The 21,411-nt window shown below is 46.1% G+C and overlaps 1 protein-coding gene, 1 long non-coding RNA gene and 1 pseudogene across 10 annotated transcripts in view, besides 2 other annotated features; all 3 read left to right on the top strand.

The window, feature by feature from the left end:
• LOC105376434 (uncharacterized) overlaps positions 1 to 14,187 on the top strand; it is a 34,557-nt gene extending 20,370 nt beyond the window's left edge. Inside the window, exons 3-4 of one of the 2 annotated variants that reach the window (XR_930699.2) lie at positions 192 to 305; positions 13,436 to 14,187. This is a non-coding gene — a long non-coding RNA (uncharacterized LOC105376434). Of the gene's footprint in view, positions 1 to 191; positions 3,493 to 13,435 lie in introns of those variants that run through there. The other variant, XR_001747378.2, reaches the window with a different exon arrangement.
• A 389-nt stretch (positions 14,188 to 14,576) lies between these two features.
• On the top strand, positions 14,577 to 16,167 carry LOC124902566 (cytochrome c oxidase subunit NDUFA4-like; annotated as a pseudogene).
• Positions 18,139 to 18,968: a silencer, noted in NCBI's record as "silent region_2169". NCBI's record gives its function as "represses an Ori minimal core promoter by ATAC-STARR-seq in GM12878 lymphoblastoid cells {active_cell/tissue: GM12878}" and the evidence as "EXISTENCE:reporter gene assay evidence [ECO:0000049][PMID:35858748]".
• Positions 18,338 to 21,411, top strand: part of NMT2 (N-myristoyltransferase 2) — a 62,994-nt gene continuing 59,920 nt past the window's right edge. For all 8 annotated transcript variants that reach the window (XM_047426019.1, XM_005252642.6, XM_017016949.3 and 5 more), the window contains exon 1: positions 18,338 to 18,528. In XM_047426019.1, coding sequence (XP_047281975.1) covers positions 18,419 to 18,528 — 110 coding nt within the window. In that variant the 5' untranslated portion in view covers positions 18,338 to 18,418. The remainder of the gene's footprint in view (positions 18,529 to 21,411) is intronic.
• Positions 20,495 to 20,695: a silencer, noted in NCBI's record as "peak871 fragment used in MPRA reporter construct". NCBI's record gives its function as "represses an SCP1 promoter by STARR-seq MPRAs in K562 erythroleukemia cells {active_cell/tissue: K562}" and the evidence as "EXISTENCE:reporter gene assay evidence [ECO:0000049][PMID:32103011]".

Genomic DNA, 21,411 nt, shown 5'->3' with positions numbered 1-21,411 from the left:
GAACCCCAAAGCAAACCAGCCTCTTAGGGCTAGCTCACTTCCCATCCTTTCTGGACCCCCTTCCTCACCTCCTCACCAGCCCACTCCACATGGTGTGATATAATTTGTATCAATTGTATGTCCTGCCACTGGAACAAGGTTATCCTCCCAGTGGGCAAACCATGGTGTATTCTTTCTTTAATTCCCTGTAGGTGCCCAGCTATGACATCCAGCACTTCATTTGTTGATTCGAAGACCTGGGTTAAAATACCAGCTCTGCCATTTCATTCAAGATTCCCCTGAATTCACATTTATTGGACACTATGGTATGTCGAAACTGTGCTCTGATGAGGGAATGAAAAGCTGAATCAGGTGTGACTACTGCTTTCAAGGTGCTGCAGACTTTATTGTGTTTCCCCAAGTTCATATGTTGAAGCCATAACCTCCAGTGTGGCTGCATTGGCAGATAGGGCCTCTAAGTGGGTAGTGGAGGTTACATGTGTCATCGGGGTGCGGCCCTGAACCAAAAGGATTAGTGTTCTTATAAGAAGAGATGCCAGAAAGAAAACAAAAAGAAAAAGAAAAGAAGAAAAGACAGGCCAGGTGCAGTGGCTCTCACCTATAATCCCAGCACTTTGAGAAACTGAGGCAGGAGGATTGTTCAAACCCAGGAGTTTGAGACCAGCCTGGGCAATATAGTAAGACCCCATCTCTACAAAAACTTTTTAAGAAAGAAAGAAACTGGCTGGGCATGGTGGCTCATGCCTGTAATCCCAGCACTTTGGGAGGCCAAGGAGGGCAGATCACAACGTCAGGAGATCGAGACCATCCTGGCTAACACAGTGAAACCCCGTCTTTACTAAAAATACAAAAACAAAATTAGCCAAGCGTGGTGGTGCATGCCTGTAGTCCCAGCTACTCGGGAGGCTAAGGTGGGAGAATGGCGTGAACCCGGGAGGTGGAGCTTGCAGTGAGCTGAGATGGTGCCACTGCACTCCACCCTGGGTGACAGAGCAAGACTCTGTCAAAAAAAAAAAAAGAAAGAGAGAGAAAGAAAGAAGAAAGAGAAAGAGAAAGAAAAAGAAAGAGAGAAAGAGAAAGAAGAAAGAAAGAAGAAAGAAAAAGAAAGAAAGAAAGAAAAAAAAAAAGAAAGAAACAAAGAAAGACAAAGAAAGAAAGACAAAAGACACCAAAGCTAATTATTTCTCTCCAAGAACACATACAAAGGAAAGGTCTTGCAAGGCCATAGCGAGAAGGTGGCAGTCTGCAAGTCAGGAAGAGAGCCCTCATCAGAAACTGAATCCCTGCCTACAGAATGTGAGATATAAATGTCTATTGTTTAAGCTCCCTATCTGTGGTACCTCATCATGGCAGTCTAAGCTGACTGAGACACATGAAGATCAGAGCTTAGAAGTAGGAACAGGCGAGTTGGGTGGGGCAGGCTGTTTTGTTTGCAGGACGTGTCTCAGCTCACATCGGGTTGGTAGGTCTTCCTCTGCAGCTGTTGTGACCATGAAGCAAGCAGGCCCTCAGGAACCTGGCCTTACTGCCAGGCCTCACAGGGGGAGTCGAGGGACAGGATGGCCACTCTGTGTCCAGAACATGGGTAACAACTAGTGAACAGGTCGATGGGAGACTAGGGTGACAAGTGACTGGGAAGTCTGAAACTACTGAAGCCTGTGTGGGTCTACTGAAGGGATTTGACAGGGAGACGATATGGTCCCAGCCATGGAGAGGCCAGCCTGGGCTGCTCTGTGGTCCCCGAGACCCTGGCCTGAGGGTGCACCAGCCCCAGCATCAATCAGATCTCATGGTGTTTCTAGGATTCAAGGCCCTCATGGAGCCCCTGAAAGCAAGGCTCACTTTCCTAAGCTCTTCAAAGCTCAAGGAGCCAACGGCAGACCTGACACATCCTGCAATGCTCTCAGCATGGGCCTGCTTAGCCTGCTCCCTCCTCAGCCAGTTTGCCCCAGAAACTAAAAATAAAATTGACAACAGAGGAGCATTAAACAGCAAAATCTAGCTGAGGGAGGAGCAGAGGCTTTGAACAAGGACAACTGGCACACACCGTGGTCACCTCTGGTTGTCCCGTCCTCCCTGGGCGTTGGGAGTTTATGGATGGATATTCACTGGAGCGCCTGCTCTGCCAAGAGATAACTCAGCTTTCCTCTAAACCTCTGTGGTTTTATCTCTTTTGTTTGTTTACTATTTCTTCCTCCTCCCCTACATGAGAAACATCTCCCTGTATCTCCAGTTCAAATTCCCCAAAGCGAGAATCTAATTTGGTCTTCAGACCCTCTTTGAAGGGCTGCTGTCGTACAGGGCCATTGGATGGTCCTGCCAGCCTGCAAGCTGGCTGTCCTGGCTCCCAGGTAGTGACCTGTGGGCAGAGACCTTTTCCTGCAAGGGGGTGGTGAGAATCCAGGCACACTGGGGCAAGCCTGCCCTGCCTGTATTGGGCAGAATGTACTCAGCTGCTCGCAAGAGAATAGCCACATACAAGCCGTCTCTATTGCTGTGAGCTCATTTTCCATAGCAAGAAGCCTGCAGGTGGTTGGTCCTAGAACTCAGTGGCTCTGTGACCCCACAGAGGATATTTTTCCATCTGCCAAGTGGCTGGACAGTAGTTGCAGCAGTTCAATGAATACATCAAATCCAAAGATTTCCTTGATGCTCCCCTACCCCCACCCTCAGGAGATGTGTTGATGTCTCTTTGACAAAAGAGAGCCACAGTCCCACCTCTAGCTGCAAGAGAAGCTGGTGGAGTGAGAAGCTGGTGTATACAATGTCTACAGGGGTAAGTGGATTCTAATGACAAGGGAGATGATGGAACATTGTGTAGGCAAACGTCTGCCCTACGAAGTAAACAGTTAACTATAGCGTGGTACTGCAAGCGCTATAATAATTTGCTAAGACACTGATATGGTTTGGCTATGTCCCCAACCAAATCTCACCTTGAAGTGTAATAATCCCCATGTGTCAAGGGCAGGGCCAGGTGGAGATAATTGAATCATAGGGGGCGGTTTCCCCATACTGTTCTCATGGTAGTGAATAACTCTCACGAGATCTGATGCTTTTATAAAGGGGAGTTCCCCTGCCCAAGCTCTCTTGCCTGCCTTCATGTAAGACGTGACTTTGCTCCTCATTCGCCTTCAGCCATGAACGTGAGGCCTCCCCAGCCATGTGGATGTGAGTTCATTAAACCTTTTTCCTTTATAAATTATGCAGTCTCGGGTATGTCTTTATTAACAGTGTGAGAACAGACTGATACAGACACTTTTTGGGATAAGTCACATAACCTCTTCGAGGCTCAGATTCCTAAAATGAAAAATGAAAATGATAGTACTTACATCACAGAGGTGTTGTACAGATTAATATGAAATAATGTATAAGAAAGTCTCTATTTCAATACTTAATAGGTAATAAACGCACCTTGGCTCCTTCCTCCCCATCAACTACAGGGTAAATGTGCAATAAATACTTGCTAACCAAATAAACATTGCTTATCTGGAACATTATCCTCTTGAATTTTGTTGGCGATTTGTAAAAAGAAAGAAAATCAAGTCGGCATGCAAAGTAAAAGTAAACATGAAAAATTCAAAGGCTGGCAGGCTAGGAATTAATTTAAAATGCAATCATGCTTCATTGTATTTCAAAGAAAGCTAAATAACTACATTGAAGCCTCTAACACATTTTCCCTTGATAGACTGATTATCCATTGTTTCCCTCCCTCAGATAGAACCCTTGGAATAATTTGCCATTTCTTCCTGCAACTGGCTCAGCTACACTCTTGATTTTCGGTTTGGTTTTGATTTAGTTTTTTTCCTCCACTGGAAAGTCCCCAGGATAATCTGGATTTATTTCTCATCTGAAATAAAACACATTAACTGGCAGTATTCCCTTCGTACTCCCTTCCTTACGAATGGTTCAAAACACTGTCATTAAAATCCATTGCTCTCACCTGCATCTTTGACAACATAATCAATGGATGCTTCCACGGTAGAGTCAATGTAGTCACATTTGATTTCGAGACTCTTTATCAAATTAGCCCTGATTATATCACCTCCCAGTTCCATTTAGGGATCCTTTCCCTGCCAATTATGCAAAAAGACATTTGGTTTCCTTCTTTCTCCTGCAAGTTGTCATCAGAGGCGCCTGCGACTCTATCCAAGATCCAAGAATTCTTCCTTTAATTCAGAATTCATCTCACAGCCCACTTCCTCCAGAAAACTTGCACCAGCAATGGTGTGAAGTCCTATCTGTCCCACAAAACAAGACCATCTGAACACTTGGCCTTCAATAGTCTGAAAAACCAAGAGACAGCGATAAACCTTTTTCTCTGGAATGTAAACTCTTTCATGCTTGGTGTGATGCAAGAGTGTAGTAATTTTACACATCTACCATAGCCGGTACTAAAAATTCACTCCAGTCATAAATCTTCAATCTGCCACCCAGTGCCAAGCCCACACCCACCTTCAGTTCTGGAGTTTCCAATGGCTTATGGGACCTCCCCATACTCTAGGGCTTCTGGTTCCTCCAGAGTCAAGATGGTTAGGGAAGAGGGATTCATGAAAATGATATAACTGTTTTGTCTCTCTCTCTCTCTTTTTTTTTTTTTAAACAAGCTCTGACTCTTTCATCTAGGCTGGAGTGTAGTGACACATGGCTCACTGCAGCCTTAACCTCCTGGGTTGAAGCAATCCTCCTGCCTCAGCCTCCTGAGTAGCTGAAACTATAGCTGCATGCCACCATGCCCAACTAATATCTTAATTTTTTTTTGTAGAGCCAGAGTTTTGCCATGTTGCCCAGGCTGGTCTTGAACTCCTGGGCGCGAACAATCCACCTACCTCAGCCTCCTAAAGTGCTGGGATTACAGGCATGAGCTGCCATACCCAGCCACTTTTTTTTTTATTTAGAGACAGAGCCTTGCTCTGTCACCCCTCATCCCCCAGGCTGGAGTGCAGTGGCATGATCATGGTTCACTGCAGCCTTCAACTCCTGGCCTCAAGAGATCCTTCTGCCTTAGCCTCCCAAGTAGCTGGAACTACAGGCACATGCCACCATACCCACTAATTTTTTTTATTTTTTTTATTTTTTGTAGAGACAATGTCTTGCTATGTTGCCCTGGCTGGTCTTGAACTCCTAGCCTCCCGAAGTGCTAGGATTATAGGCATGAGCCACTGCACCTGACCAGTATAACTTGTTTTACTGAGTCAGTGCAGATGTAATCTTCGCTGTTATCCATGCCTTGCTGTATGGCAGGCATCCAAATATTGGTTCTCTGATGGAGCTTTTGCACAAGTCTTTGGATGGCCCAAAAGTTCCCTGGCTGAATGATGTGCTCTGACTTGTAATCTTTTCTGCAAGTCCCTACACCTGGTCATAGACTCTACACTTCTTCCTACTGGACTTCCTCCTGCCTTCTTGAGGAGGATACCAGCAAGACAACTCAAGCTCAGCCACCTTTCCTGGTCTCTGCTTGCCTCTTGGGACACTCACACAACTCTGATTGCTCCAGCAAGCCTTTCATTCCAAAATTACCCAGGCAAGAAGCAAGGACCAGTCTCTATTTGCTCATCTATTCCCAGGCTTCTGAAGAAATAGATCTGGCTTTCTCAGGAACTCTTTCACTGAGTTCTGCAACAACATGGGAGCTCGTGTGGACCCATGAGTTTCTGCATCTTAGCAAGTGTCTAGATCAGGACTAAGATGTCAGTCCTTTCCCTTCTCGCCAGCATCTTGAGTCTCTAAGGTTCTCTTGAAGCTCCACACATGTGGCTTCAAGGGAAGGAAAGGAGTAGCTCTCACCTTGAACCTGAGTGATTTTCTAATGCCTGGACTTCTATTATTGTAAGATGGGGAGAAGGAGAGGGGACTATTGGTCAATGAACTGCTCCTGCCAGCTCATAGGTGGTCCTTTAAATATGGGGATTTAGCACCTCTTATTCTCAGCTTTAGGGCTGCAGCCTCATTTTGGAGACAACATGAAATGTCCCATTGACATTCTGTTAAACAATGTTGTAATGAGTGTCCTTGCACGTCTATCTTTGTGAGCCTTTGAGAGTATGGCCAAAGGGTGACTTACTCATAGACGTTGCTAAATTGTTTTCCAGGAAGGTTGCACCAGTTTGCACTTCCAGAACACTGCAGGAGCACATCCATTTCCCGACATTCTCCCCAAGCCCAGCTAGACATTCCTCAACCTAGAGCTCTGGTTGGAAAGACCAACTCACTCGGTCAAAAGGCCAGATGAATGCACCATTCTAGACATTTAAAAGTGTCAAATACCAAGCTTTTCTGGCGACAGGGTGGAGGAAGGAGGGAGGATGGAAGAGAGAAGACAAGGAAAGGGAAAGGGAGGGAAGAGAAGAATTATTTTCAGAATCCATTGCCGGCTATTGTACTTTATCTCGAATTGCCTCATGGGGGCCAGGCCCGGTGGCTCACACCTGTAATCCCAGCACTTTGGGAGGCTGAGGTAGGCGGATCACTTGAGGTCACGAGTTCAAGAACAGGCTGGCCAATAAGATGAAACCCCATCTCTACTAAAAATACAAAAGCTGACATGGTGGTGGGCGCCTGTAATCCCGGCTGCTGGGGAGGCTGAGACAGAAGAATCACTTGAACCCGGGAGGCAGAGGCTGTAGTGAGCCGAGATCATGCCACTGCACTCTAGTCTGGGGGACAGAACGAGACTACATCTCAAAAAAAAAAAAAGAAAAGAAAATTGCTTTGAATTGTCTCGTGGCCAGGATGAGACGGAGGCAGGAGGTGAAGGTTTGTGCAGTTGGGCTCGTAGAAGTGAGCTCGTGCCGTGCTGTTAACTATGGTGAAACTGAGCCTCCTAATCTTTTTTTTTTTTTTTTTTTTTGACACAGAGTCTTGCTCTGTCACCCAGGCTGGAGTGCAGTGGTGCGATCTCGGCTCACTGCAAGCTCTGCCTCCTGGGTTCGCGCCATCTTCCTGCCTCAGCCTCCCAAATAGCTGGGACTACAGATGCACGCCACCACGCCCGGCTAATTTTTTGTATTTTTTTAGTAGAGACGGGGTTTCACCGTGTTAGCCAGGATGGTCTCGATTTCCTGACCTTGTGATCCTCCTGCCTCGGCCTCCCAAAGTGCTGGGATTACAGGCAAGAGCCACTGCGCCCGGCCAAGCCTCCTAATCTTACCTCCAGTGATGCTACTTAGCAGCAGAGGTGTTGCTGACACACCGGCAAGCAGCAGAGGGTTGTCTCTACACAACACTCTCATCCTACACAACACTGTTGTCCACCCAGAGAAAGGCCCTCTTTTTTTTTTTTTTTTTTTTTTCAGTTGAGAGAGAGTCTCTCTCACCGAGGCTGGAGTGCAGTGGTGTGATCTCTGCTCACTGCAACCTCCGCCTCCCAGGTTCAAGCGATTCTCCTGCCTCAGCCTCCCAAGTAGCTGGGATTACAGGCACCTGCCACCACACCTGGCTAATTTTTGTATTTTCAGTAGAGACGGGGTTTCACCATGTTGGCGAGGCTGCTCTCGAACTCCTGACCTCAGGTGATCTGCCCACCTCGGCTTCCCAAAGTGCTGGGATTACAGGCGTGAGCCACTGTGCCCAGCTGAAAGGCCCTCTTTGAACAGAATATGTGTCCAGAATTAGTCAACGTGGGATCTCTGACATCCTCCAAGACCCCCAGGGCATTGCCCTGACTCCATAACTGCTCATTCACAGTGTCGTGTGTCCTCATCCGCTGACCAGGTTCCGGTTCTCCAGAAGCACTTCTTCTCCAAACCAGCAGCAGCAGTATCTGTGAGGGAAATTTGTGTCTATCTTTTATTTTTCTTTCTGTTTTTTTCCCCCTTTTAAAACTCAAGTCACTCAAAGGGACTGTGACAACTCAGTATATTTGAACTTCTCCAGATAGTCAGACTAAACACTATGAAATTCACTGTGTATTCAAGATTAAGAGCCACTGGACTTGGGGGACACTTTTTCTGTCACTGCCTTTGTTAGCCAATGCCACTCCCGTAGATCCACAGGCCCCAGATAACAAACGTGGGGGCTGCAGACAGGACGTGGGGCTGGTGGAGACAGCGAGGTGCTGGCAGTCAGGATCCCAGGGTCTGGATCTGACTCCCCAAAGATGTGTCTGTTTTTATCTTAGGAAAGGGGCGTAACTCCCCGCAAGCTTAACAGCATAATTATATACAATTTAATTATTAAAGTAATAATATGAAATTATTTATCGTATTGTTACAGAATATATGTAACATACAATAATGTAATATATAATTTATATATAATTTTTTTTTGAGATGGAGTTTTGCTCTTGTCACCCAGGCTGGAGCACAATGGCATGATCTCGGCTCACTGTAACCTCTATCTCCCAGGTTCAAGCAATTCTTCTGCCTCAGCCTCCCAAGTAGCTGGGATTATGGACGCGTACTGCCATGCCCAGCTACTTTTTGTATTTTTAGTAGAGATGGGGTTTTGCCATGTTGGCCAGGCTAGCCTCGAACTCCTAAGCTCAGGTGATCCACCTGCCTCAGCCTCCCAAAGTGCTGGGATTACAGGTGTGAGCCACTGCGCCCAGCTATAATATAATAATTATATATACTGTACAAAATAATAATCTTATTGGCAAGGAGTTCTTAATAACATCAAAAAGAATATTTTCTTTCTTTTTTTAAAAAAAAAATTTTTTTTTTTTTGAGACAGAGTCTCACTCTGTCTCCCAGTCTGGAGTGCAGTGGCGCGATCTCGGCTCACTGCAACCTCCGCCTCCTTGGTTCAAGCAATTCTTCTGCCTTAGCCTCCCGAGTAGCTGGGATTACAGGCGTGCACGACCACAGCTGCTAATTTTTGAATTTTTGGTAGAGATGGGGTTTTACCATCTTGGCCAGGCTGGTCTTGAACTCCTCACCTCGTGATCCACCTGCCTCAGCCTCCCAAAGTGCTGGGATTACAGGTGTGAGCCACCGCACCTGGCCTCAAAAAGAACATTTTCTTAGAACACTTTAGACAGTAGTGAGCAAGGCCGAATGCAGTGGCTCATGCCTATAACCCCAGCACTTTGGGAGGCCAAGGCTGGAGGATTGCTTGAGGCCAGGAGTCTTTGACCAGCCTGGGCAACACAGCGAGACCCCATGCCTACAAAGAAATTTTTTTGTTTAATTAGCTGCTTACCTGTAGTCCTAGCTACTGGGAAGGCTAAGGTGGGAGGATGGCTTAAGCCCAGGAGTTCAAGGTTACAGTGAGCTATTATTACACCACTGCACTCCAGCCTGGGCAACAGAGCAAGAACCTATCTCAAAAAAAAAAAAAAAAGTACTGAGCAAAATAAGAGAAGCCTGTAGGCTTTAGGGATACACAGACCTGGGTTTCTATTTTGTTTAAGGCATTTGTTTAGTAAGTTTGGATAAATTATTTAACCTCTCTCGCGCTGTTTTCGCCTTGAAAAATGAGAAGAGTAAACTTTTCAGACCATTTAGGGATGAAAAATCAAGGTTTAAGGTTTCTGTTATGCAAGATGAGTAAGTGCTAAAGACCTGCTGTACAAGACTGTGCTTATAGTTAATAACACTGTAATGTGTATGCACTTTAAAATCTATTAAGATGCCAGGTGTGGTGGCTCATGCCTGTAATCCCAACACTTTGGGAGACCAAGATGGGAGGATTGCTTGAGCCCAGGAGTTTGAGACCAGCCTGGGCAACGTAGTAAGACCCCCATTTACAAAAAATTAAAAATAAAAAAATTAGCCAGGCATGGTGGTGCATGCCTGTAGTCCCAGCTACTGGGGAGTTGAGGTGGGAGGATCACTTGAGCCTGGGAGGTCAAGGCTGCAGTGGGCCGTAATCATGCCACTATGCTCTAGACTGTGCAGCAAGTGAGACGCTGTCTTAAAAAAAAATTAATTAAAATAATAAACAAGGCCAGGCACGGTGGCCCACACCTGTAATCCCAATATTTTGGGAAGCTGAGGCGGGCAGATCATTTGAGGTTAGGAATTCGAGACCAACCTGGCCAACATGGCGAAACCCTGTCTCCACTAAAAATACAAAAATTAGCTGGGCGTAGTGGTGTGCGCCTGTGATTCAGCTGCTTGGGAGGCTGAGGCAGGAGAATCGCTTGAAGCTGGGAGGGAGAGGTTGCAGTGAGTCGAAATCCTGCCACTGCACTCCAGCCTGAGCTACAGAGTGAGACTCTGTCTCAAAAATAATAATAATAATAATAATTAAATAATATATATTAAGAGGGAGAATTTTTAAAATAATATGTGTAAAACAGATGTCTAATATACCAGGGGACTTTATTAAACAGTAGTTATTATTGTTAAAAATGGAAAAACTAGATATAAAAATCACCTTTTTTTTGTTTGTTTCACTTACCTTTCAGTGAGAGCAATGCCAAGTTTAGCAAATAGTTCCAATTTTGCAAGGATTTTTTGCTGTGACCTGAGACCAGAGAACTGCCGCTTGTTCTAGATTTTGCGAGTGGCTGGTTTGGCTGTAGATCAGATGGAACTACCCTTCCCAAATTACAGTTTCCCTTCTTCTGGCTTTTTATTCCTGAAGCTTGGTTTCTAGGGAGAGCTTCCTGCTGGAACTTTGACCTTTAGGAAGCTGAACCTAGTGAAGTGTGGATTTGCAGCTCAGCACTCCTGAACATTTGTTAACCTGAATTGATCAAGTTCAGGCAAAGTAGTAGTTTATTTTTTCATTAATGAGTTTAGGGTTTGCGTGGTTGATTTTTTACATTTTTTGGATTTTTCCCTTAATATTTTATGAGGAAAATTTTCTTTATTTCCTTTAATTTTTAATTTCTGTGGGCACATAGTAGGTACATATATTTATGGGTTACATGAGATATTTTGATACAGACATACAACGTGTAATAATCACATCAGCCTAAAAGGGGTACCCATCTCCTCAAGCATTTATCCTTTAGGTTACAATCGAATTATACTCTTTTAGGTATTTTTAAATGTACAATTAAATTATTGACTATAGTCACCTGTTGTGCTAGTAAATACTAGTCTTATTCCTTCTGACTATATTTTGTATCCATTAACCATCCCCTCTTTCCCCCCACTCCTCCCACCCTTCCCAGTCTCTGGTAACCATCCTTCTACTCTCTGTCTCTATGAGTCCAATTGTTTTGATTTTTAGATCCCACAAATAGATGAGAACATGCGAAGTTTGTCTTTCTGTGCCTGGCATATTTCACTTAACATAATGACCTCTAGTTCCATCCACGTTATTGCAAATGACTGGATCTCATTCTTTTTTCTGGCTGAATAGTACTCCATCATGTATATACACCACATTTTCTTTATCCATTCATCGGTTGATGGGCACTTAGTTTACTTCGAAATCTTGGCTATTGTGTTGCAATAAACATGGGAGTGCCGCTATCTCTTTGATATACTGATTTCCTTTCTTTGGGGTATATACTCAGCAGTGGAATTGCTGGATCGCATAGTGGGTCTATTTTTAGTTTTTTGAGGAACTTCCAAACTGTTCTCCATAGTGGCTATACTAATTTACATTTCCACCAACAGTGTACAAGTGTTCCCTTTTCTCCACATCCTCACCAGCATTTCTTATTGCCTGACTTTTGGATAAAAGCCTTTTTTTTTTTTGGAGACGGAGTCTCACTCTGTTGCCCAGGCTGCAGTGCAGTGGCGCGATATCGGCTCACTGCAACCTGCGCCTCCCGGGTTCAAGTGATTCTCCTGTCCTCATCCTCCCTAGTAGCTGGGACTACAGGCATGCACCACCACACCCAGCAAATTTTTTATTTTTATTTTTTGTAGAGGTGAGGTCTCACCACATTGCCCAAGCTGGTCTCAAACACCTGGGTTCAAGCAATCCTCCTGCCTCAGCCTCCCAGTGTGCTGGGATGACAGGCATGAGCCACTGCACCTGGCTTTTTTTGCTTTTTAGTCAGGTTTGCTTCTCTCTTTAACTGCCACATATTTTGTTGTTGAAGGAGTGTGAACAACTGTGTGCTCACATATAATTCCTGGAAGAAATCTCTGTTTTCAGAAGAAACAAGTAAAACTATCTCTCCATCCTATCGCTTTACTTTGAGTTTTTATGAAAATCTATGGTAAGGAGAAATTGTGTCTGAATACTTCTGCAACTAGACTATTAAAAGGTCCTGAGCCAGGTGCAGTGGCTCACACCTATAATTCTAGCACTTTGGGAGCCAAGGTGGGAGGATTGCTTGAACCCAGGAGTTTCAGACCAGCCTGAGCAACATAGACCCTGTCTCTATAAAGTATTAATAATTTTTAAAATTAGCTGGATGTGGTGGTGCATGCCTGTAGTTTCAGCTGCTCCGGAGGAGGCTGAGGCAGAAGGATCGCTCGAGCACAGGAGGTAGAGACTGCAGTGAGCCATGATCACGCCACTGCATGCCAGCCTGGGTGACAGAGTGAGACCCTGTCTCAAAAAAAAAAAAAAAAATGGCCTGGAGGATATCATGTTAAGTGAAATAAAGCAGGCACAGGAGGATAAATTCTTCATGTTCTTACTCATGTGGAAGCTAAAAAAATTGATCTCATAAAGGTCAAGAGTAGAGCAGTGGTTACTAGAGCTAGGAAGGGAAGTGGGGAGGGGGACTAGAGAGGCTGGTTAATGAATACACAATCGTAGTTGGATAGGGGGAATAAATTCTGGTGTTCTATAGCACTATAGGCAGATAATAGTTAACAATTTATTGTATATTTTCAAATAGCTAGAAGAGAAGGTTTTGAATGTTTCCAATGCAAAGAAAGGACAAATGTTTGCGGTGATTTTTTTGGCTAATTACTCTGATTTGATCATTATACATTGTATGTATATATGGAAATATCACACCACAGCCCATACATTCCATGGGCTATATTATTAGGTGCCCACTAAAAGCAACTTTAGGTTGAGGCGGAAAGATTTCTTGGGCCCAGGAGTTCGAGGCTGCAGTAAGCTGTGATTCTGCCACTAAACTCTAGCCTGGGCAACAGAGCAAGACCCTGTCTCAAAAGAGATATAATTTTAATTTAAAAAAAAAAAAAAACAGCTAAGGCTGGGCTCCATGGCTCATGCCTGTAATCCCAGCACTTTGGGAGGCCGAGGCAGGCAGATCACTTGAGGTCAGGAGTTTGAGACCAGCCTGGTCAACATGGTAAAACCCTGTCTCTACCAAAAAATACAAAAATTAGCCAGGTGTGGTGGCACATGCCTGTAGTCCCACATACTCAGGAGGGTAAGGTGGGAGAACTGCTTGAACCTGGGACCAGAGATTGCAGTGAGCTGAGATCGCGCCACTGCACTCCAGCCTGGGTAACAGAGTGAGACCCCATCTCAAATAATAAAAATAAAATTAAATTTAAAAACAGCTTTAGAAAGATATTGGGCTGGCAAACAGGGAAAAAAGGGGTGTCATAGATTCATTCATTCGTTCTATAGCTCTTATGAAGTGTCCTCTTTGTTACAGGCACTGTTTGGGTGATGGAGATACAGAGAGAAGCACATGACGTATGATTCTTCAGGAGCTGCTGGGCTAGTGCTGGGATGATGGCAAACATATAAACCCTCGGCAGGGGAGGCAACATGGGAGCTGTGTCCTTGGTGATGGCAGGTAGTAAGGAAAGGGCATTCAAGGGCCTGGTGCCTCCAGAGACGAGGAAGGGAGCCCGGGGCATATGGAGGGCCTGGAGAGGCTCAGGTCAGAGCTAAGACCAGAGGTACAGTGAGGCTATGGTGTGGAAGGGACTTGAACACCAACCTAGGGGGATTTGACTTGATGCAGAAGGCAACTGGGAGCCACATTGTTTCTAAGTCAGGGGATGAACATGCTCCGATTGCTATGGAAGAATTTTCCAAGCAGCGCTATTGAAAAGAGTGATGGAGCCTGGATGCAGGGAGACATGGCATCTGGAGGCTGCTGCAGCCCTTGGTGTGTATACAGCTGGCGCTCACCTCTTCCCCTTCTTTGTTTCCTCCTCCCTTTCCTGATTTTCCTCTATCTCTTTCCTCTTCTTTACCTACTGCCCTCACTTTCTTCATCAGTTACTTTCTCCTCCATCCTTTCTTCCTGAAAGGGCCAGAAGCTCTAATTGTGGACAGGCTAGAACAGATCCTTTTGCCTCCTTTAGTATTTCTACTTCGAGTAAAAATGTCTGATGAGACAGTGTACTTCTGTAATATATCATCCTTATCAATAAAATAACTAATGAAGTTTGGCAATAAACTATCCAGTGATATACTCGTGGGGAAAACCTGAACACATTTAAGGAGTTTGGCAAGCAGTGCAGTTTCAAGGTGACCCTATTTATAGAATGGAGGCACCTTCCACCTCCTAAATGAACACATACTTCCATCTGCTGTGGCATTGTTCGGCTTCCTCTAGAATTTTCCTTGGCATCACCCGCAAGCCCCAACTTGTCCTACAGGGACAAGACACAGACTCACCAACTGTGAAGTTCTGAAATGCAGCTGATCTGCAATACTCACTGTGGCACCAACCTGCTGGTTTGAACAAGTATGAAAACCTTTTAGCAGAATACCAAGCAATAGGAGGTGCAAATTACCCTCACAGTGACCACGAGAAAAGCTTCTCCAACGCACAGTTGCAAATGGTGCAGGGTAGTTACCGGGTTCCTCAAAAATTAAAAAGAAACGGAGTCACTTAAAAAATAAAATAAAATCCAGCCAGACTCTAAAGCAAACCAGCTAGCAAGAATAGCTAGTGTATTGCAAAAGTAATGGGCTTTGCTTTTGTGAACCCAGAATGGAAAGTGCAAACTAATGGTTTGGCATAAGTCTTTTTCAGACATACCCAGATATACAGATAGTGATCGTGATAGTAAAAAAAGGAGTGTCTTTAAGATTTTTTTTCTTTTTTTCTTTTTTTTTTTTTTTTTTGAGACAGAGTCTTGCTCTGTCACCCAGGCTGGGGTGCAGTGGCGCCATCTCGGCTCACTGCAAGCTCCACCTCCTGAGTTCACGCCATTCTGCCTCAGCCTCCTGAGTAGCTGGGACTACAGGCACCCGCCACCACACCCGGCTAATTTTTTGTGTTTTTAGTAGAGACAGGGTTTCACCGTGTTAGCCAGGATGGTCTCAATCTCCTGACCTCCTTATGCGCCCGCCTCGGCCTCCCAAAGTGCTGGGATTACAGGCGTGAGCCACCGCGCCCGGCCTAAGGATTTCTTTTGGTCTTTGTTTTTCTGTAAGTTGGTTAGTTATTACTGCATAATAAAGCACTCCAGGCCGGGCGCAGTGGCTCACGCCTGTAATCCCAGCACTTTGGGAGGCTGAGGCGGGCGAATCACTTGAGGTCAGGAGTTTAAGACCAGCCTGGCCAATATGGCAAAACCCCGTCTCTACTAAAAATACAAAAATTAGCCCAGCATGGTGGCGGGCGCCTGTAATCCCAGCTACTTGGGGGGCTGAGACAGGAGAATCGCTTGAACCCAGGAGGCGGAGGTTGCAGTGAGCTGAGATTGTGCCATTGCACTCCAGCCTGGGCAACAAGAGTGAAGCTCCGTCTCAAAAAAAAAAAAATGGTTAGGATAGTACGTTTTATGTTGTATGTATTTTTCCAAAATTAAAAAAGAAGTTAAAACAATTTAAATGAAACAAGACCAATTGTACAACTATAATCTTACATCTGTAGTAGGAGTGGGCCAGGCAGAATAGAAAATTCCCAAAGGCCTTTTAAAATACACTGGCAAGATACTACTTAGCCCAGGGCCTGGTGGCTAGGCTGGTTCTCTCCTTTCCAATTGGAGGCCTCTGCCGCAGACACGCTCCACCAGATCATCGGTCAGGCCAAGAAGCATCCAAACTTGATCTCCCTCTTAGTATTTATTGGAGCTAGAGGTACTGGAGCAGGACTGTATCTCTTGCGTCTGGCATTTTTCAATCCAGATGTTAGTTGGGACTGAAAGAATCACCCAGATCCCTGGAACAAACTGGGTCCCGATGATCAATTCAAGTTCTACTCAATTAATGTGGATCACAGCAAACTGAAGAAAGAAGGTCCAGATTTCTAAATGAAATGTTTCACTATAAAGCTGCTTTAGACTGAAGGTCTTCCAGAATCCGTCCGCACAATTTTCCACTTCACCAGGAAATAGTTCTCCTCTAAATGAATGAAATCATGTTGATGTAATCTATTGGAGATTACACTGATTAATAAATAACTGAAACTTGAAAAAATAATACACTGGCAGCCATTTCACAGTGCTCCCATCCACCAAATAAACTTTAGATCTAAGATGCTGGAAGTTGCCACTTGGTTCCAATTCTCCAAATTCTGAAATTAAGCCAGGGAAATAAGTAAAAATATTTAGAAACATAGTGTTTCTATACGGGACAGTAGGATTTAGGAAGCCCCAGGGTCATCTGTAAACTTTTCCTTCCTTCCAAAGATTAATGCTGTAAAACATTTGTATTATATAATACTTCAATCCAGTACTGTACCGATGTACTTCAATCCAGTACTGTACCAACTTGTTTCCATTCTGGGGAACAGATGTTCCCTGTTTGTCATTGTTTTCTAGTGTTTCACTGGTTTTTGATGCCCTCATTTTATTTTTCCAGGATTATTTGTTTTCTTATTCTTTTTTAGAGCAGTTCTTAGTCAAAACTTCTTGAAAATTCAGATAAATATATGACTGCTGAGTTTCCTTTGCCTTAAGTTTTAAAAACTCTTTTAGAGAACCCTTCTGGCAGGTTAGAGTGGATGATTTGATTGATAGGCTTGCTCCTGGCCAGTTTCCTGTTGGTTACCCGAGCGGGCTGCGGGTTCTCCAACAATCCATGTTCACAGAGATGAGCTGCAGGAACCTCACTCATCTGTATTTGCTTCTATCCTAAAGTTTCACAGAGGTGACATGTGACATTTTGCCTCAGAAATAGTTGCCGTTGTTAAAGGCAATATTGTATTTCCTTTTGTGTTTTGACCCCATTTGCCCTTCTTACAGAATTTTAGTTGTCTCAATGCCAAACAGCTGACGGGCTTTGAAATCGCTCTGCAGTTTTCATCTTTTGATACTTCTAGCTCATTGCGTTTTAAAAACATAGTCTCCCTTGGGGAAAAAAGCCATAAAATGCTCCTAGTATCTTCTGCAAAAAAAGGACCCACACCAAAAAATTCAGGTGGCTCTTTAAAGTCTCATTTTCCTCACTGAGCGGGTTCTGATGATTATCTTTGCAAAACCACTGCGGAGACTTCCGGTGGCCTAGCAGCACATTTGAACAAGATCATCTCAGCAAAGCAAAGGACAGGACTGCTCTGTACAGAATGCAGTAGCAAATAAGAGAGGCTGAACTTCACCGGTCTTCTATTTGGCAGTACTACAGAATGCCTCCCTTCCCTCTTCTGAGAGAGACAGCGGACAATTTCAGCACAGAAGGCCGTGCACGTTTGCTTGGAAATCTAGGTCATGACCTTGACTTTGGGAAAGCCAGGGTAGCCTACCTGAAACTGTCCAATCCCCCAGCATCGTGGACACGTCCCCAAGTCCCTCAAGATGTCTGTTCTGGTCTGAGCCGTCCGTAGTAGTGTCCAGGGAAAGCAGGGGTAGCTCAAAAATTTCTGTCAAGAGTTTTAGTGCTGCAAGCCTGGTTGGGACAGGGCGGTGGAGGGCTGGAAATACTGTTTTTGACTTTGAATTTGATTTTATAATGTATTAGATGGATAGATAGATGCGAAATGGAATTGTTAACATGTATGTGGAGGGGCGGGAAGAGTTTCTGGAAAGCCCCATCCCTGAGTGCCTACTCCTGAGTGGGAAAAACCCCTGCACGGGCTGGGAGCGCTCCCTAATTCGTCCAGAAGTAAAATCGCATGGCCTGTGTTCCAAAAATGCCGCCACTCAGGATGTCAAGTCTGCACGTTTGCAGCTTTGAGAGCCGAGCCCCAGGCAGAGGCACCGCGCAGGCCTGGATGTACAGGACTCGGCCCTGTGCAGGGCTGGCCAGGGTGAGCAGGGTTGGAGCTGGCGGGGCGGGGAGGGGCGGGGCCATCTGGGAGGGGCTGCGGCGGTGGGCGGGGTTAGAGGGCGGGTTTGAAGCCGGCAGGGTGGGGAAAGGCGGGGCTGGAGGGGAGGGGTCTCAGAGGCGGGCGGGGTTAGAGAGCTGGATTGAAGCCGGCGGGACGGGGAGAGGCGGGGCTTGGTGGGGAGGGACGAAGAGGTGGGCGGGGTTCAAGCCCGTGGGGCAGGGCGGGGCCGGCGGGCAGGGCGGGGCCGGCGGGCTGGGCGCGGACGGTGAGGGGCGGGGATGGAGGGCGGGGCGGGACGGAGGGCGGGGAGGGGGCGGGACGGAGGGCGGGACGGGGCGCGGGCGGGGCGGGGCGGGGCGTAGCGCCCGGGCTCCGACTCCAAGCAGTACGGCGGGAGGCACTAGAGGGAGCTGCGGCCGCTCCGGCCCGGCCCCGAGCACCGCCTCCCCAGCCAGCGCCGCCGCGATGGCGGAGGACAGCGAGTCTGCGGCCAGCCAGCAGAGCCTGGAACTGGACGACCAGGACACGTGCGGGATAGACGGGGACAATGAGGAGGAGACGGAGCACGCCAAAGGGTAGGGGCGGCGCGCTGGCGCACCGGGCGCGACAGGGCGGGGACCGCGCGCGCCACGGTCTCCCGTTCGGGGGTGGCTCCCAGGACTGGGGGTTCTTCGGCCGCTCCGCCCCGCGATGGCTTCTCCGTGGCGCGGAGCCCATGGTGAGGTCCGGGGCGCGCGGCTCGCGGGAGAGTGCAGTGCGCGGGGAGGCGAGGCCCGGGGTGGGCGGGGAGGCTGGGGCCCGGGCGGGGAGACGCTACTGTCACTTGCCGCGCGCCCCCGGCCAGCCTCGCCCATCCCCGCCGGCGGCCTGGCCCAGGAGGCGCCTGTTGCCCTCGCCCGCGGGTGGCTCCGGTGGGCGCCGAGGAGAGGCGCTACGCCCTTCCCTTTGTGGCGGCCGCAGCCTGGGGTAGGAGGTCGCCCTCCTCTGCTCCCTGCCATCCTTGTTAAGTCCCTTCAGACTCCCTCTCCGCAGCCGCCACCCGAAAAGAATGGGCAAAGACGTGGGTGGAGCGGCGTGGAGGTGCCCCGATGGTGTCGGGGCCGCAGGCGGCGAACTGCGCAAAGTTCTGGCGCCGAGGGGGTCCCGGGCCCGGCCCCTGCTGGGGATACTGGGCTTTGCACCGCCTCGCCTGTCCCTAGAGCTCTTCAGAGCAGGGCCGATCCCCTGAACCGGGCTCCCGCTGACCTGGCCGTATCCTGTTTGCAAAGCTGGTATTTGATCTCCAAAACTCGATGCACCACGCATTTTCACACTTGATCGGATTTCTTAATCCTTTCCCTTTGCCCCCGAACCCTGCAGACTTGATTTGCTCTTCTGTTGGAGAAAAGGATTGCTTCAGGTGAAGGCCGGTGTTGATGCTCTCTTTTTAGAGGCAGTGGGTCATTTTAAATAAAAACTGGTGTCCTTTTAAAGTGCTGTTTACATTACCCTTTTACCCTATTGGATTCAAACTATGCGCTGGCACAGAGCGGTTCTTGCTACACCCTTAGAAGTGAGATTTTTCGAACCATGGTGAGTGATGGAGAAGTGGGTCAGCTTAAAAAACATGATAGGGAGGCCTGAGTCACAGATGGTTTACTCAGTTCGTAGAGAGATTCTTGAAATGATTGATCATTGAAAGTGTAAATCATTTGCATTCTACTTGTCTACTTTAAGATTTATTATAGAAAGGGACTTTTGACTGACCTCTAATTCATTATAAAATATTAACAAATGAAGAAAAAGAAAAGCTGACTATGTGCATCTCCCATTTGCAAGTTGTTTTTATCTTTGCCGTGAATACTTCAGTGGCGGCTGCAAGTATCGAATGTTCGAGTCTAGAATATTTTTTTTTTTAAAGAGAGGAAAGGAAATTGCATAGGAATCTGAACCTGAGCCCTGTTTATGCAGGGATAGAAACGTGTTTGTGATAGATAGCTAAATACAAATATGTTTTTGAAACGGTAGTTCTATTGCCAGAAATGGGCCCAGGTGCAGATGCAAGCTGATGGATTAGCTTCAGTACCTGTGTTTTCTTTCTGGAGAGACCCTGGACTTTTATCTTCTCTGCTGTAATTTCTGTTTATTGTTCCTCCTTTGATTGATATTCTAGGTTGGGGGCTTGATTAGGACTTCTTTGCTTACACTGTTGAGAATGCCCCTGGTACAAAGAATTCCTCATCTGTGTGCGCATTGATCTGAGCCTGTCCCCCGACACCTTTCAAGAAGCTAAAGTTCCCAGAGTAGCACCCAGAGGCATCTGTGCTGCCTTCGGAAGTTTTCAGTTTTGTATATCAGCACATTTTATATATTAGAAAGGTTAATCAAAATTTAGAGATGCCCCATGGACTGAAATGTTTTCACCAAGAGCAGATACCATGTTAATAGCTTCTAGTGGGAAAAGATTAACATAATGGATGTATTGTACTCTATTTAAATGTAAGGAGATTAGGAAAACTCCAAATGACTGCTCTCCTTGGATTGCCTGTTTGGATTTGAATTTAGACAATGTGTGCCAAATTTGGGGGAGTAAATGTGTTTTATTTGGCTCATGTACTGATGATATCGCAGTAGAAACCTAGGTTTTCTTTAAGTAGCTCAAGTTTGTAAATGTTAAAATTTGAAAGACTCTTTTTCTATACTCGGCCTCTTCATTCCCATCAGTTTAAATAAATAACAAATAATGAGCCTTTGGATGAATCAGTAAGAACATGTTTCACCTCTTAAAGGCAGTTTGTCAATTTGAGGCCACCAGGCAGCGGCCAGTGCAGAGAGGTAATTTACTGAATAGTGCCCTTGTGGCCTGAAAGAATTCATTTACCCCACCACTCAGTATAATGTATTTACTAGTCCTTTTAGACATATTAAGTTGAAACTAAAGCCTCAAATAAAAGGAAAATACCCAATTAGAGTCTTGTTTTGCACCAAAATGTAAGTATTTAAATATGTAAAACTGCATATGCTGTTCTTTTATTTTCATGGAATTTTCTTCATGGACTAAAAAGGGTATTTCGTTTTATAGATAATGCTAAGAGTCCATGAATGAAATATCAGATGTTTTATGTTTAATTAAAAGCAATGGCGTAAGTATTATAAAATACTTGAGTCTCACTGTCTTTATATCTTGTTTTTCATGGAAAATGTACCTTTTTTTTTTTTTTTTGAGACAGTCTTTCTCTGTCACCCAGGCTGGAGTGCGGTGGTGCAATCTCGGCTCACTGCAACCTCCGCCTCCTGGATTCAAGCAATTCTCCTGTCTCAGCCTCCTAAGTAGCTGGGATTACAGGCGCGTGGCACCACACCCAGCTAATTTTTGTATTTTTAGTAGAGATGGGGTTTCACCATGTTTGCCAGGCTGGTCTCGAACTTCTGACCTTAGGTGATATGCTTGCCTCGGCCTCCCAAAGTGCTGGGATTAC

The sequence above is a fragment of the Homo sapiens genome, chromosome 10 (assembly GCF_000001405.40).
Source record: "Homo sapiens chromosome 10, GRCh38.p14 Primary Assembly".
Classification (NCBI taxonomy): Eukaryota; Metazoa; Chordata; class Mammalia; order Primates; family Hominidae; genus Homo; species Homo sapiens.
The sequence above is the reverse complement of the archived record's forward strand: the minus strand, read 5'-3'. Positions and strand labels throughout refer to the sequence as shown.